Source organism: Homo sapiens, chromosome 16 (genome assembly GCF_000001405.40).
Source record: "Homo sapiens chromosome 16, GRCh38.p14 Primary Assembly".
NCBI lineage: Eukaryota > Metazoa > Chordata > Mammalia > Primates > Hominidae > Homo > Homo sapiens.
The window spans coordinates 29,957,954-29,973,354 of NC_000016.10; the positions used below are offsets into that span (position 1 = coordinate 29,957,954).

Consider the following 15,401-nt stretch of genomic DNA (forward strand, 5'->3'; position numbering starts at 1 on the left):
GGAGTTCGAGACCAGACTGCACAACATGGTGAGACCCCGTCTCTACTAAAAATACAAAAAGAGAGAAAAAAAAATAGCTTGGCATGGTGGTGCACACTTGTGGTCCCAGCTACTTGGGCGGATGAAGTGGGAGGATTGCTTGAGCATGGTGAGGAGGGAGGTTGCACTGAGCCAAGATTGCGCCACTGCCCACCAGCCTGGGTGACAGACCAAGACCCTGTCTCAAAAAAAAAAAGAAACAAAAAAAAGGTGGGGCTCACTGGCTCACACCTGTAATCCCAGCACTTTGGGAAGCTTAAGGTGGATGGATCACTTGAGGTCAGGAGTTCGAGACCAGCCTGGATGACATGGCAAAACCCTGTCTCTACTAAAAATACAAAAAAATTAGCTGGGCCTGGTGACGCACGCCTGTAGTCCCAGCTACTAGGGAGGCTGAGGCAGGACAATTGTTTGAACTCAGGAGGCAGAGGTTGCCGTGAGCTGAGATCGCACCACTGCACTCCAGCCTGGGTAACCAGAGTGAAACTCTGCCTCCAAAAAAAAAAAAGAAGAAGAAGAAAAAAGGTTTAGGCAAACATGCACTTTTCCTGTTGCTTTTTTTTTTTTTTTTGAGATGGAGTTTCGCTCTTGTTGTCCAGGCTGGAGTGCAATGGCGTGATCTCGGCTCACTGCAACCTCCGCCTCCTGGGTTCAAGCGATTCTCCTGCCTCAGCCTCCCAAGTAGCTGAGATTACAGGCATATGCCACCACGCCCGAATAATTTTGTATTTTTAGTAGAGATGGGGTTTCTCCATGTTGGTCAGACTAGTCTTGAACTCCCAACCTCAGGTGATCCTCCCGCCTCGGCCTCCCAAAGTGCTGGGGTTACAGGCATGAGCCACTGCGCCCAGCCTGAACATGCCAGATTGTAGTTCCAGGAGGCCAGAGATCATGAATACTTTGTCCACCACTATATTCCCAGCCCACAGAATACACAGCCTGGCAGCCAACAGATGCTTATTGAATGAACGAGCCTCAACAGGGCTTTCTCATTCCCACATGCCATGCTGTGGTCAGGCTTAAATCATAACCCAACTTCTGCCACCTAATATATGTATGACCTTGGTTAAATTAAACCAGCAGTCCCCAACCTTTTTGGCACTGGGGACCAGTTTCATGGAAGACAATTTTTCCACCAGGGGAGGAATGGTTTCGGGATGATTCAAGCACATTACATTTATTTTGCACTTTATTTCTATTATTATTACATTATAAGGTATAATAAAATAATTATACAACTCATCATAAAGTAGAATCAGTGGGATCCCTGAGTTTGTTTTCCTGCAACTAGATAGTCCCATCTGATGTTGATGGGAGACAGTGAGAGATCATCAGGCATTAGATTCTCATAAGGAGCAACCTAGATCCCTCGCATGCGCAGTTCACAATAGGATTCATGCTCCTATGATAATCTAATGCCGCTACTGATCTGACAGGAAGCAGAGCTGAGGCGGTAATGCAGGCAATGGGGAGTAGCTGTAAATACAGATGAAGCTTCTCTCACCAGCCATTCACTTCCTGCTGTGCGGCTCAGTTCCTAACACGTCACGGACTGGTACTGGCCCCACGGCCCAGGGGTTGGGGACCCCTGACTTAAACTAAGGGCCAGCTTTCCAGAATAACATCCACTTTGAGGGCTTGTTGAGTGGATTAAGTCAAAATGTTGGTATACTTGGCTGGTGCGGTGGTTCACACCTGTAATCCCAGCACTTCGTGAGTCTGAGGCGGGTGGATCACCTGAGGTCAGGAATTTGAGACCAGCCTGGCCAACATGATGAAACCCCATCTCTACTAAAAATACAAAAAATTAGGCCGGGCGCGGTGGCTCACGCCTATAATCCTAGTACTTTGGGAGGCCAAGGCGGGTGGATCATTTGAGGTCAGGAGTTTGAGATCAGCCTGGCCAATATGGTGAAACCCTGTCTCTACTAATAAGTACAAAAATTAGTCAGGTGATAGTGGCGTGTGCCTGTAATCTCAGTTACTCGGGAGGCTGAGGCAGGAGAATCCCTTGAGCCTGAGAGGCAGAGGTTGAGGTGAGCTGAGATTGGGCTGTTGTTGAGTTGTAGGAGTTCTTTATATATTATAGATATTAACCCCTTATAAGATATATGATTTGATATTTCCTCTCATTCTGTTGGTTGCCTTTTCACTGTCCTTTCCTTTTTTTGTTTTTGTTTTTTGTGGGGCAGAGTTTTGATCTTTTGCCCAGGCTGGAGTGAAGTGGTGCAATCTCAGCTCACTGCAACCTCCACTCCCCAGGTTCAAGCGATTCTCCAGCCTTAGCCTCCGGAGTAGCTGGGATTATAGGCGCCCGGCACCATGCCTGGCTAATTTTGTACTTTTAGTAGAGATGGGGTTTCACCATGTTGGCCAGGCTGGTCTCAAACTCCTGACCTCAGGTGATCCACCCGCCTCGGCCTCCCAAAGTGCTAGGATTACAGGCTTGAGCCACCGTGCCCAGCCTGTTGTGTCCTTCGATGCACAGAAAAGACTCTTTTCTCTACTGAACGCCCACAGCACCCTTGTCAAAAATCATTTGACTAGTCAGGGCACAGTGGCTCACGCCTGTAATCCCAGCACTTTGGGAGGCCGAGGCGAGAGGACTGCTTGAGGTCAGGAGTTCGAGACATGCCTGGGCAACATGGCAAATGGCAAAACCCCGTCTCTACACACAATGCAAAAGTTAGCTGGGCATGGTGGGTGGCGTGTGACTACCGGCTGTCTCAACTACCCAGGAGGCTAAGGCGGGAGGATCTCTTGAGCCCAAGACGTCCAGACTGCAGCGAGCTTTGATTGTGCCACTGAACTCCAGCCTGGGCGATGACAGAGCAAGGCTCTGTCAAAAAAAAAAAAAAAAAAAAAAAAAAATCGGCCGGGTGTGGTGGTTCACGCTTGTAATCCCAGCACTTTGGGGGGCCGATGCGGGCAGACCACGAAGTCAAGAGATCAAGACCATCCCGGCCAACATGGTGAAACCTCGTCTCTACTAAAAATACAAAAATTAGCTGGGCGTGGTGGCGTGCGCCTGTAGTCCCAGCTACTCGGAAGGCTGAGGCAGAAGAATAGCTTGAATCCGGGAGGCGGAGGTTGCAGTGAGTCGAGATCGCGCCACTACACTCCAGCCTGGCGACAGACTGAGACCCCGTCTCAAAAAAAAAAAAAATCATTTGTATATGCGAAGGTTTTGTGCCACAAACTTTTGTGGCTGTTGATACAAACGACATGGCCTCTGCCTTAAGGAAGCCACAGTCGAATTAAATAGATTCCGTTTCAAGTAGCATCTGTCCTGTGTGCTTAGTGGGCACTGGGCCCATGTTTTCCCACATTTTACCCTTTAAGCTTCTGATCCAACCGGTGAGATAGATAGGATGATCCTCTTTAGTAGAGGGGTAAGCTTAGTCCCCTGAGAGCGCGGCTATGGCTTATGCGAGGGTACGGACAGTCAGGATTTGAACCCAAAGTTCCTGGCTCCATGTGTCATGCTACCTCCAGTCAGATGTTCTCACCTCCAAAACTTGGGCAGAAGTGAACTGAGATGCTCTCTACTGAGCAACTCTTCAGCTCCAGCATCCTATACATTAAGGAGTCACTAAAAGTCAGGGTCCACGAGAAAGGTGCAGATCGGGGTGCACAGAAGAGCGGAGTCCAAAACACCACTCCCAGCCCCAGTGGACAGAGTCCTCAAGTGGCAGCCCTGCAACTCTGAGCGGATGCCGAGTCCTCACCGGGAACCCGGGCGCGGCTGGTCTGTGCTATTGGCGCGGGTAGGGGACGCACAGCCCAAAAATGCCCGCGACAAGCTTCTGGGGCAGTTCTCGCCAGTCTCTCTGGAGGGAGCCTACGGGTTCTGCGACGTTTCTCGCACTTGCTCCCTGGCCTCGCTCCCGTTTCCACCCCTCCCACGGAGGTTTTCCTTTCTGGTGGCTCCTTCCTTGGGTGTCCCTTTGGTACGCCCCCACCCTGGCGGTGAGCTGCGAGGCTGGCGCCCGCGTGGCCACTGCGCATGCGGACCCGGCCGCGGGGCGGGGCCGCGCGAGGAGGAGGGTCGGGGACGGAAGCGCAGAGCACGGACCCCGCCCCCTCGCGGCCCCGCTCGTGACGTCGCGGGGGGCGCCGGCCTCCGCCCGGCCCCGAGGGGTAAGAGCGAGCGGCTGGCGGATCCGACGCGCGAGACCGGGAGGGGACGAGGGCGTTGCAATCGTTCGGGGCGGGGGCTTTCCGGGGAGGGGGTGCTCAGGTGCACCAGCGGCGGCGGACCCTCAGACTCTGCCCTCCCCTCCCTTTAACCCCCTTCCAGCCGGACGGGAGGCGGGGCAGGGCTGAGCATTTGTGACACCTACATTTCCGTGGCTCCCTTCTTTTCCCCCGACCCCTGTTTATCTCTTCGCCTTCCAGAAGTTCTTTTCCATCAGGCCGTCGCACCTTGCGTGGGAAGGAGCACCCCACTTGGAAGCAGGAGGCGGGGTTCAGATCTTGGCCCTACCCCTCCTGTGTTAAAGTCCGCGAGCCTCAGTTTCCCTCACAGTATTTTTTGCCTCGCCTTACCCGGTTTTGAGGATCTGTACGAGAAAGAGAAAGGAAGTGGACATTTGTTGAATTCCTGCATGGCCAAATACCACGCAGACTGCTTCATCCGCCACGTTTAATCCTTATTACTTGGTGTTCTCAGAACTCCCATTTCATGGATTCTTAAGCTCACAGAGTCAGTGAATAACAGAAAGGGATTCAGATCTAGCCGTTTAGCTGCACAGTGGAGTTCTTCTCCAGAGTCTTCCCTTGTCTGGGCTCTGGCTGGAACTATTCCTCAGCCAAATCCTCGCCCCAGAACAGTGCTTCCTGTTTCTCCAGCTGAGAAGTCTCCCTTTCAGTTTCCTTCTTCCAGCACGGAGTACACTGCTCTGCCTCCACTTAGATTACTTCAGAAATGAAATGCAGCAAATATTTATCCAGCAGTGCAGGGAGTTGAACTTTTGGAGTCGGGAACCTTGGATTCTTGTTCTGGCTCTGCCACTTACTGTGTGGCCTTGGGAAGTCCTTTGTCTTCTCTGAGCTTTCTTTTCTCTTTGCGTAAAAGCGGTGCTCTTGTCCCATTCTCCCTCCCTGTCTTCCAGCAGGCTCTCCCCGGAGGCTCAGCCCCCTCTGCTCCCCATGGGCAACTGCCAGGCAGGGCACAACCTGCACCTGTGTCTGGCCCACCACCCACCTCTGGTCTGTGCCACTTTGATCCTGCTGCTCCTTGGCCTCTCTGGCCTGGGCCTTGGCAGCTTCCTCCTCACCCACAGGACTGGCCTGCGCAGCCCTGACATCCCCCAGGTAAGTTCCCCACCCCCGTACCCGCTCTTCCTTCCAACCTAGACAGGCTTTTGCTGCTAATCTCATCTCACCCGTCTTCTTTTGCTCACAGGACTGGGTCTCTTTTTTGAGATCTTTTGGCCAGCTGACCCTGTGTCCCAGGAATGGGACAGTCACAGGGAAGTGGCGAGGGTCTCACGTCGTGGGCTTGCTGACCACCTTGAACTTCGGAGACGGTCCAGACAGGAACAAGACCCGGACATTCCAGGCCACAGTCCTGGGAAGTCAGATGGGATTGAAAGGTGAGATCAGAGGCTGGGTGTGGTGGCTCACGCCTGTAATCCCAACACTTTGGGAGGCTAAGGTAGGTGGATCATTTGAGGTCAGGAGTTCAAGACCAGCCTGGCCAACATGATGAAACACCATCTCTACTAAAAATACAAAAATTAGCCAGGCATGGTGGCAGGCGCCTCTAATCCCAACTACTCGGGAGGCTGAGGAAGGAGAATCGCTTGAACCCAGGAGATGGAGGTTGCAGTGAACCGAGATCGCACCATTGCACTCCAGCCTGGGTGACAGAGCAAGACTCTGTCTCAAAAAAAAAAAAAAAAAAAATCAGGTGCGGTGGCTCATGCCTGTAATCCCAGCACTTTGGGAGTCCGAGAAGGGCAGATCACGAGGTTAGGAGTTCGAGACCAGCCTGGCCAACATGGTGAAACCCCGTCTCTACTAGAAATACAAAAATTAACCTGGTGGTCTGGTTGCGGTGGCCCACAGCGGTAATCCCAGCAGTTTGGGAGGCCGAGGCGGGCAGATCATGAGGTCAGGAGTTTGAGTCCAGCCTGACCAACATGGTGAAACCCCATCTCTACTAAAAATACAAAAATTAGCCGGGCATGGTTGCACGTGCCTGTAATCCCAGCTACTCAGGAGGCTGAGGCAGGAGAATCACTTGAAGCCAGGAGGCGGAGGTTGCAGTGAGCCGAGATCGTACCACTGCACTCCATCCTGGGCAACAGAGCAAAACTCGGTCTCAAAAAAAAAAATTAGCCAGGCTTGGTGGTGCAAGCCTGTAGTTCCAGCTACTTGGGAGGCTGAGGCAGGAGAATTGCTTGAACCCGGGAGGTGGAGGTTGCAGTGAGCCAAGATCGTGCCACTGTACTCCAGCCTGGGAGACAGAGCAAGACTCCGTCTCAAACAAACAAACAAACAAAAATACAAAAAGTAGCCAGGTGTGGTGGCAGGTGCCTGTAGTCCCAGCTACTTGGGAGGCTGAGGCAGGAGAATCGCTTGAACCTGGGAGGCGGAGGTTGCAATAAGCAGAGATCACACCACTGCACTCTAGCCTGGGCAACAGAGACTCTGTCCCGCCCCGCGCCCCCCCCACCACCCTGCGCCAAAAAAAAAAAAGTAAGGTGAGATCACAGAGGACTGTGGGGTCGGGTATCAGAACACTCAGGGCTGGGCCCTGCCTCTGACCTCACCAATGATGACCTTGGGCACATCCCTGGACTTTAGTCACTTCTGTGATTAGGGCTTTCAGTGAACATGCTGCCGACAGGGTAGGTTTTCTATGAATGCTTTCTTCCTCTGCCAGTTCTGATGTTCTTTGAGTCTATCCTTGGAGGTAGGATGAAATGGGCTAGGTTTGACCTAATGTTTTCTCATCCTTTAGCCACCTCCTCCTAGAGGCCCCTTTTTCCTTAGCATAGTTCTGTATGCCACAAAAGATGCAGAAAAAAATTAGACACCATCAATTTCCAAAGAGCTATAGTCTTCTGGGAAAATGACAAGCGATAGGGAGAATGTGAAAATGTCAGTGGATGCCAATAATCCCTGTGTGACATTTGGCCTTATCTAAAATATGCTAAGATAAAGAGGGATGGAAGAGGGTGGTATTTTCTGACTTCTGAGGTCCTTTACAACACTATCATTCTAAGATTCTCCTGTGAGTATATATGTGTCGGGGGAGTGGGTCTCTGCATGTCCAGATGTACATGTATGTTAACAAAAATAAGGAATGTGTCCGATATATGCAGACTTGGGACAATTCTTTCCCATTCTTTTTACTTTTAAATAGATATATAATAGTTTTATTGAGATATGATTCATGTACCATACAATTCACCCATTGAAAGTGTACAGTTAGGGCCGGATGTGGTGGCTCATGCCTGTAATCCCAGCACTTTGGGAGGCCAAGGCAGGCAGATTGCTTGAGCGCAGGTGTTCGAGACCAGCCTGGACAAAATGGCAAGACTCTGTCTCTACTAAAAATACAAAAAAAAAAAAAAAAAAAAGCCAGGCGTGGTGGTGCACACCTGTGGTCCCAGCTACTTGGGAGGCTAAGGTGGGAGGATTGCTTATCCCTGGGAGGCAGGGCTTGCAGTAAACATTCTCCTGCCTCAGCCTCCTGAGTAGCTGGGATTACAGGTGCTCGCCATCACGCTCACCTAATTCCCGCCCCCCAGCCCAAGGAGTCTTGCTCTGTCACCCAGACTGGAGGGCAGTGATGCGATCTCAGCTCACTGAACCTCTGCCTCCCAGTTTCAGGAGATTCTCCTGCCTCAGTCTCCCAAGTAGCTGGGATTACAGGCATGTGGCACCATGCCCAGCTAATTTTTGTATTTTTAGTAGAGATGGGGTTTCACCATGTTGGCCAGGCTGGTCTTGAACTCCTGACCTCATGATCCGCCCGCCTTGGCCTCCCAAAGTGCTGGGATTACAGGTGTGAGCCACTGCGCCTGGCCAATTTTTGTATTTTTTATAGAGATGTGGTCTCACTATGTTGCCCAGGCTAGTTTCAAACTACTGGGCTCAAGTGATCCTCCTGCCTCACCTCCCAAAGTGCTGGGATTACAGGCATGAGCTACCGGGTCTGGCGTATTACCCAATTGTTTTATTTACTTTCTCTTGATTGCTAGTAAGGTTGAGCCTCTTATGGTTTATTGTCTGTATTCATGTTGCCTGTGAATTACCTGTTTGTTTCCTTTGTTCCTTTTTCTTTTAAGTTATTTGTCTTTTTCTTCTTGATTTGTAGGTCTTTATTCTAGATAGTAAACCTTTTGTCATTTAAATATATTATAGGTATTTTCAATATGTTACTTGTTTTTTTAACTTATCTTTCATTGCATAGAAGTCTTTAATTTTTATGAGGTTAGGTTTATCACTCTTGTCCTTTATTAAAACTTTTAGGTTTTGTGTCTTTCATAGGAAGCCCTTCCTCATTTTAAAATTAGAAAATATTCTGGCCAGGCGTGGTGGCTCATTCCTATAATCCCAGCCTTTGGAAGGCTGAGGCAGGTGGATCACCTGAGGTCAGGAGTTCAAGACTGGCCTGGCCAACATGATGAAACCCCGTCTCTACTAAAAATACAAAAAATTAGCCAGGCATGGTCGTGGGCACCTGTAATCCCAGCTACTCACAAGGCTGAGGCAGGAGAATTGCTTAAACCTAGGAGGTGGAGGTTGCAGTGAGCTGAGATTGCACCACTGCACTCCAGCCTGGGCAACAAGAGTGAAACTCTGTCTCAAAAATAATAAAATAAAATAAAATAAAATAAAATATTCTGTATTTTCTTTAAATACTTAAGTTTTTTTTTAGTTTGTATAGTTCTTTAATACATCTGAACTTTATTTTATAAGATAACAGTTTGACGCTATGTTTTTTTCTACATGGAAATTTTCCCAAGGCCATTTACTGAGGCCATCCTTTCCCCACTAATTTAAAATAGGGTGAGAACCTTTTAATGGATTTTGGTACCAAGTGAGAAACTGCTTTCTTAAAAAGAATGAACTAGTTTATGCAAACTGACATGGGCAATGTGTATCTGCCCATTTCACTGCAGCCTTGCGAGTATTAGTATGGTTGTTGTATTGATTGTAATTTAAGTTAATTTAAATTACAACTTAATTTGTGTTTATATTGATACAAAGTTATTTTCATTTCTCAGTGATATAAATAATGGTATATGGAATACTTTATTGAATAGAATCAATGCCAAAACACCTGGTATTATAGAAAGCCTTAAAAAATGACTAGGGGCAGGCGTGGTGGTTCATGCCTGGAATCCCAACATTTTGGGAGGTCAGGGTAGCAGGATGGCTTGAGCCCAGGAGTTTGAGTCCAGCCCGGGCAATACAGTGATACCCTGTCTCTACAAAAAAATTTTTTTAAATTAGCCAGGTAGGTGGCACACACTTGTAGCCCTGCCTACTCAGGAGACTGAGGTGGGAGGATCACTTGAGCCTAGGAGGTTGAGGCTCCCGTGAGCTGGGATCGTGCCACTGCACTCCAACCTGCACGACAAAGTGAGACCCCATCTCAAAAAAATAAAGAAAGAAAGAAAATACAAGAAAAGGGCCGGGCACGGTGGCTCACGCCTGTAATCCCAGCACTTTGGGAGGCCAAGGCGGGCGGATCACGAGGTCAGGAGATCAAGACCATCCTGGCTACCACAGTGAAACCCCGTCTCTACTAAAAATACAAAAAATTAGCTGGGCCTGGTGGTGGGCACCTGTAGTCCCAGCTACTCGGGAGACTGAGGCAGGAGAATGGTGTGAACCCGGGAGGCGGAGCTTGCAGTGAGCCGAGATTGCGCCACTGCACTCCAGCCTGGGTGATAGAGCGAGACTCCGCCTCAAAAAAAAAAAAAGAAAATACAAGAAAAGAAGCGTGAAGACAGAGGCTCCCGCGTCACCTCTCATTTTCTTCCATTTTCTCTTCTGTGCCTTTCACAGGATCTTCTGCAGGACAACTGGTCCTTATCACAGCCAGGGTGACCACAGAAAGGACTGCAGGAACCTGCCTATATTTTAGTGCTGTTCCAGGAATCCTACCCTCCAGCCAGCCACCCATATCCTGCTCAGAGGAGGGGGCTGGAAATGCCACCCTGAGCCCTAGAATGGGTGAGGAATGTGTTAGTGTCTGGAGCCATGAAGGCCTTGTGCTGACCAAGCTGCTCACCTCGGTAAGAGCCTCAGATGGGTCGCCAGGGTTTTGTAGACTGCCTGCTGACTACTGTATCTTGAAGGTCCCTGGAAACAATTCTACCTTGTAGAAAAAGCACAGGTTTTATAACCCTGCCTTGGGGGCTGTGTGACGTAGAACAAGTGTCTAAACATCTCTGAGTGTCAGCATCCTCATCTGTAAAACAGAAAACATGACCCTATCTCTTAATTCCATCAAATAAGGATTAAATGAGAATGACCGTGAAGTGCCCAGCACATTGCCTGGGACATAGAGATTTGATAAGTGACAGCTATTGTTGTTTACTATTGTCTTTAAAACATTCTCTCTACTTCAAAGGAGTTCAGAAGCTATAATAAGAGGCAAATGGGCTAATTGCTATTAGAGAGATGTGAGCAAAGTGTTATGCAAACACAGAGAAAGGAGCCATTAACCCTAACTTGAACATTTATGGAGAGTGCATCACAGAGAAGGTGGCATTTACCAGAGAGCATTGTGCACAGTGGTTTATAATGCACAAAGTGCTCTCAGGGTTCATTAATTCATTTGATCTTAAAATAGCCTTTTGAGGTAGGTGTTATTATCCCATTTTACAGATGAGGAAACAGGTTTAGAGAAAGGGAGTGAATTGCTGCAGGCCACACAACTGGTTAAGTGGCAGAGCCAGGGTTGCAACCCACACCTTCTGTCAAGTCAGAATGATCCTTGAAGAATGAGGAAGATTTGGACAGGGACTGCAGTAGAGGAGGTTCAGGAGAGGGGGAGGTACACTCCAGGCAAAGGCACCAGCATGCGCACAGGCCTAGAGATTGAAAAGTGTTCAGCCAGGTGTCACATCTGTAATCCCAGCACTTTGGAAGGCCGAAGCAAGGAGAATGCCTGAGGCCAGGAGTTCCAGACCAGCCTGGAGAACATAGCAAGACCTCGTTTCTTTTTCGCTTTTTTTTTTTTTTTTTTTTTTGAGACGGAGTCTCACTCTGTTACCCAGGCTGGGGTGCAGTGGCACAATCTCGGCTCACTGCAAGCTCCACCTCACAGGTTCATGCCATTCTCCTGCCTCAGGCTCCCGAGTAGCTGGGACTACAGGCGCCTGCCACCATGCCCGGCTAATTTTTGTATTTTTAGTAGAGACAGGGTTTCACCTTGTTAGCCAGGATGATCTCAATCTCCTGACCTCGTGATCCACCCACCTCAGCCTCCCAAAGTGCTGGGATTACAGGTGTGAGCCACTGCGCCTGGCGACCCCATTTCTTAAAAAAAACATTTTTTTTTTTAATTAGCAGGGTGTGGTGGTACACACCTATAGTCCCAGCTACTCAGGAGGCTGAGGTGGGAGGATCCTTTGATCCCAGGAGTTTGAGGCTGCAGTGAGCCATGATTGTGCCACTGCACTCCAGCCTGGTTGCCAGAGTGAGACCCTGTCTCAAGAAGGAAAAAAAAAGAAAGTGTTCAGCCTTTGGGAGCACTCCATGTTGAGAGGCTTAGGAAGGAGAAAAGGCAAGAGAGACCACAGGGATTTGATGGAGAGGCTCTGTGAATGCAGGATAGAGGGCTATGACCTGATGCTGAAGGCCGTGGGGGCCACTGAGGAGTTTTAAGGAGGAGAGAGATGTGCTTCCCTGGTGCTGGGTGGAGAATGGCTGAGTGGAGGAGGGCCATCAGTCAGGAGGCTGCTGCACACTCCACTCTCACATTTGAAAATACCCCATGAGGCACGGTGGCTCACGCCTGTAATCCCAGCACTTTGGGAGGCCAAGGCCGGTGGATCACTTGAGGTCAGGACCAGCCTGGCCAACATGGTGAAACCCCATCTCTACTAAAAATTTAAAAATTAGCTGGATGTTGTGGCGGGCGTCTGTGATCCCAGCTACTCAGGAGGCTGAGGCAGGAGAATCTCTGGAACCTGGGAGGCAGAGGTTGTAGTGAGCTGAGATCATGCCACTGCACTCCAGCCTGGGCAACAGAGTGAGACTCCGTCTCAAATAAAGAAAAAAAGAAAAGACCCCATGAGGAGCACAACCTGGGACTTGGAATCAGAGATCTGGTTTCCAGATCTAGCACTGCTTGCACTTTTTTTTTTTTTTTTTTTGAGATGGAGTCTTGCTCTATCGCCCAGGCGGGAGTGCAGTGGCGCAATCTCAGCTTACTGCAAGCTCCGCCTCCCAGGTTCACGCCATTCTCCTGCCTCAGCCTCCCAAGTAGCTGGGACTACAGGCGCCCGCCACCATGCCCGGCTAAGTTTTTGTATTTTTAGTAGAGATGGGGTTTCACTGTGTTAGCCAGGATGGTCTCAATCTCCTGACCTCGTGATCCACCCACCTCGGCCTCTCAAAGTGCTGGGATTACAGGTGTGAGCCACCGCACCCAGCCACTTATACATCTTTAAACTGTGGATCATAATGAAGTTTCCTATCTCATGGAGTTATGATGGGGTTTCAGGTTGATAATTGGGCAAGAAAGTAGTTTTTAAACCATCAAGACAAATGTTCGAGCCTGGGCAACATGGTGAAACCCCATCTCTACAAAAAAACACACAAAAAATTAGCTGGGCGTGGTGGCACACACCTGTGGTCCCAGCTACTCAGGAGGCTGAGGTGGGAAGATCGCTGGAGCCCAGGAGGCGGAGGTTGCAGTGAGCCGAGATTGCACTACTGCACTCCAGCCTGAGTTACAGAGTGAGACCCTGCCTCAAAAAGAAAAAAAAAAAAAAGGGCCAGGCGCGGTGTTTCACGCCTGTAATCCCAGCACTTTGGGAGGCCGAGGTGGGCGGATCATGAGGTCAGGAGATCAAGACCATCCTGGCTAACACGGTGAAACCCCGTCTCTACTAAAAATACAAAAAATGAGCCAGGCGTGGTGGCGGGCACCTGTAGTCCCAGCTACTTGGGAGGCTGAGGCAGGAGAATGGCGTGAACCCAGGAGGCGGAGCTTGCAGTGAGCTGAGATCGCGCCACTGCACTCTAGCCTGGGCGACAGAGCAAGACTCCATCTCAAAAAAAAAAAAAAAAGACAAATGTCAGCTTATATGAAAATAACATTTTCCCTTCAGTTGCTCCCTAGATGTGGAGAGCCCTCTCCCTCATGGAGGCTCCTTCTATAGCCCTTGGACTGGATTAACATGTCCTCCTCCTCCTCTCCCTGTACCCCTCCCTAGGAGGAGCTGGCTCTGTGTGGCTCCAGGCTGCTGGTCTTGGGCTCCTTCCTGCTTCTCTTCTGTGGCCTTCTCTGCTGTGTCACTGCTATGTGCTTCCACCCGCGCCGGGAGTCCCACTGGTCTAGAACCCGGCTCTGAGGGCACTGGCCTAGTTCCCGACTTGTTTCTCAGGTGAGGTTCTTTGCTCCAGTCCTGCGGGAGCAGGGAATGGGGTGGGGGTGGGGGTTGTAACCGGGGTAGAGCAGATCCTTGGACTTTTCCTCAAAGACTGCTGCTTCTGAGTCCCCGAGAACCTCTTCAACCACAGCTCTCCCTTAGGGACTGGGAACAATTTGACACCGTCAGCATTCAATATTTTTCTAATTACTTTAACTTTTTTATTATAAAATAGTTAACACTTATGTAGAAAAGTCCAATAGTATAAAAGGACAGCTTGGCAAATTATTATAAAGTGGATACTTATAAATACCACTGAGTAGAATATTACCAGCTGTCCAGAAACCCCCCATGGTCCCTTCCTTCCTGACAATGCCCTCTCTCTCCCTAGAAATTACTGTCCTGCTTTATAATGTATTGCCATGTATGTATTCCTAAATAATATAGTTTGGTTTTACTTATTTTTGAAACTATGTAGACAGAATCATACACATTCTTTTGTGGCTGACTTCTTTCAAGCAACATTGTGATTTTAAGACTCATAACTAGTTCACATCCAAGCATTTGGGTAACAATGGTGAGTTAAGAGGGTTCACATTTGATGATTTGTCCTGAATATGAACCATGTTTGTCTTGCTTTTGTCCTGAAATTCCAATACCCAGTTTTATGATGGAAATTTTGTAAAATTCAACTTGAACCGCTCAGAAGAGTCTAACTGATGATACTCATTTACTGGGGACATAGTATGTGCCCAAGAACTTGACATGCACCTTCTGTCTTCCATTTAGTCATCGTTACCTTTAGAAAAAGCTGATTCCGTTAACAAGATCTTTGGAGGGAATCAGCTTCACAAACGTAGCAGTGGGTGGGGGTCATGTTGGTTAACCAGTTCACACATCAGCTCACTAAAGGAAAAAATATTTCTGCAAAAAATCTTCACTTGTCAGAGGGGGGTGCATGAAATTTGAGAGCCATGTGTTATGCATCCAGCTCTTGAACTGGTCTCAGCTTCAGCTGGCTGCAGTGCCCTAGGAAGTTACTATGGGAAAAGTGGAAATAGTTGAGGCCCAGGGAACTGATCAGGCCAGAGGAAGTGGAAGCTCAAGATCAACTGTGCTTATTTTGCTGATGGCTGGGCCTAAATGCCCCAACCACCTACTTGGGACAGGAAATGACAGGACCCTCTCAACCTTGGACTGGGAAAGGAGGGCTTCCTGGCCCCTGACAGACCCTGGGGTCCTGAGGCTACCTTAGTTGGGATTAAATGCCCGTATTGGTCTCTAGCTGTCACTCCCTCTGCTCCTTCCTCAATTTCTGCACACATCTCAGAGCTTCCTCTAGCAGCTCTTCGACCTGTTTTGTTGTTTTATTTTCTTTCTCCCCAGGTGTGAATCAACTTCTTGGGCCTTGGCTCTGAGTTGGAAAAGGTTTTAGAAAAAGTGAAGAGCTGGAATGTGGGGGAAAATAAAAAGCTTTTTTGCCCAGTGGCGTGTATGGTGTTTATTGGGGGTTGGATTGAGGTGGGGATTTTAGGGTAGGCAGGCTTAGAAGTTTTGGGGGACTCTTTCCTGTTGACTCTCTAGTTTGGACACAGGTTGGCATAGGGCATAGGTTACTTGAGCTCTCCCCATGGTTGACTTGGCTTTGGTAAACACCTGTCTTGTTTTCTTCTACGAAATAAAATGGATAATTACAGTTAGTTGGGCGGGTGGGGTGTCAGGTCATGGAAATGCTGTGACATAAATGCACTGTGACCTTGGCAAGTCTTGCAACCTGCAGCGCCTCAATTT

The 15,401-nt window shown here is 49.1% G+C and overlaps 1 protein-coding gene across 11 annotated transcripts, besides 2 other annotated features; it reads left to right on the forward strand.

Annotated features, from left to right (window-relative positions):
• Positions 3,499–3,608: an enhancer, noted in NCBI's record as "active region_10684". NCBI's record gives its function as "activates an Ori minimal core promoter by ATAC-STARR-seq in GM12878 lymphoblastoid cells {active_cell/tissue: GM12878}" and the evidence as "EXISTENCE:reporter gene assay evidence [ECO:0000049][PMID:35858748]".
• Positions 3,959–4,408: a silencer, noted in NCBI's record as "silent region_7345". NCBI's record gives its function as "represses an Ori minimal core promoter by ATAC-STARR-seq in GM12878 lymphoblastoid cells {active_cell/tissue: GM12878}" and the evidence as "EXISTENCE:reporter gene assay evidence [ECO:0000049][PMID:35858748]".
• TMEM219 (transmembrane protein 219) lies at positions 4,126–15,095 on the forward strand. Of its 11 annotated transcripts, none has more exons than XR_007064854.1 (7): positions 4,126–4,279; positions 5,154–5,355; positions 5,447–5,636; positions 10,072–10,301; positions 13,455–13,625; positions 14,089–14,187; positions 14,997–15,095. XR_007064854.1 is itself a non-coding variant. In XM_047433622.1 (6 exons), the coding sequence occupies exons 2-5, from the start codon at positions 5,191–5,193 to the stop codon at positions 13,590–13,592; spliced, it is 723 nt and encodes a 240-aa protein (XP_047289578.1). In that variant the 5' UTR covers positions 4,126–4,279; positions 5,154–5,190; the 3' UTR covers positions 13,593–13,625; positions 14,997–15,095. The 11 variants fall into 11 exon arrangements, 7 of the variants coding, with proteins under 7 accessions (XP_047289578.1, XP_005255180.1, NP_001077082.1 ...); XR_007064853.1 differs by having other exon boundaries at positions 4,126–4,179; NR_161465.1 differs by having other exon boundaries at positions 4,126–4,179; positions 5,157–5,355.

Coding starts and splice junctions, on each gene's coding strand:
- TMEM219 (NM_001369688.1), top strand. CDS start 5,191: ATGGGCAACTGCCAGGCAGGGCACAACCTGCACCTGTGTCTGGCCCAC. Junction 5,356..5,446: donor GCAGCCCTGACATCCCCCAG/GTAAGTTCCCCA, acceptor TTTTGCTCACAG/GACTGGGTCTCTTTTTTGAG. Junction 10,302..13,454: donor TGACCAAGCTGCTCACCTCG/GTAAGAGCCTCA, acceptor ACCCCTCCCTAG/GAGGAGCTGGCTCTGTGTGG.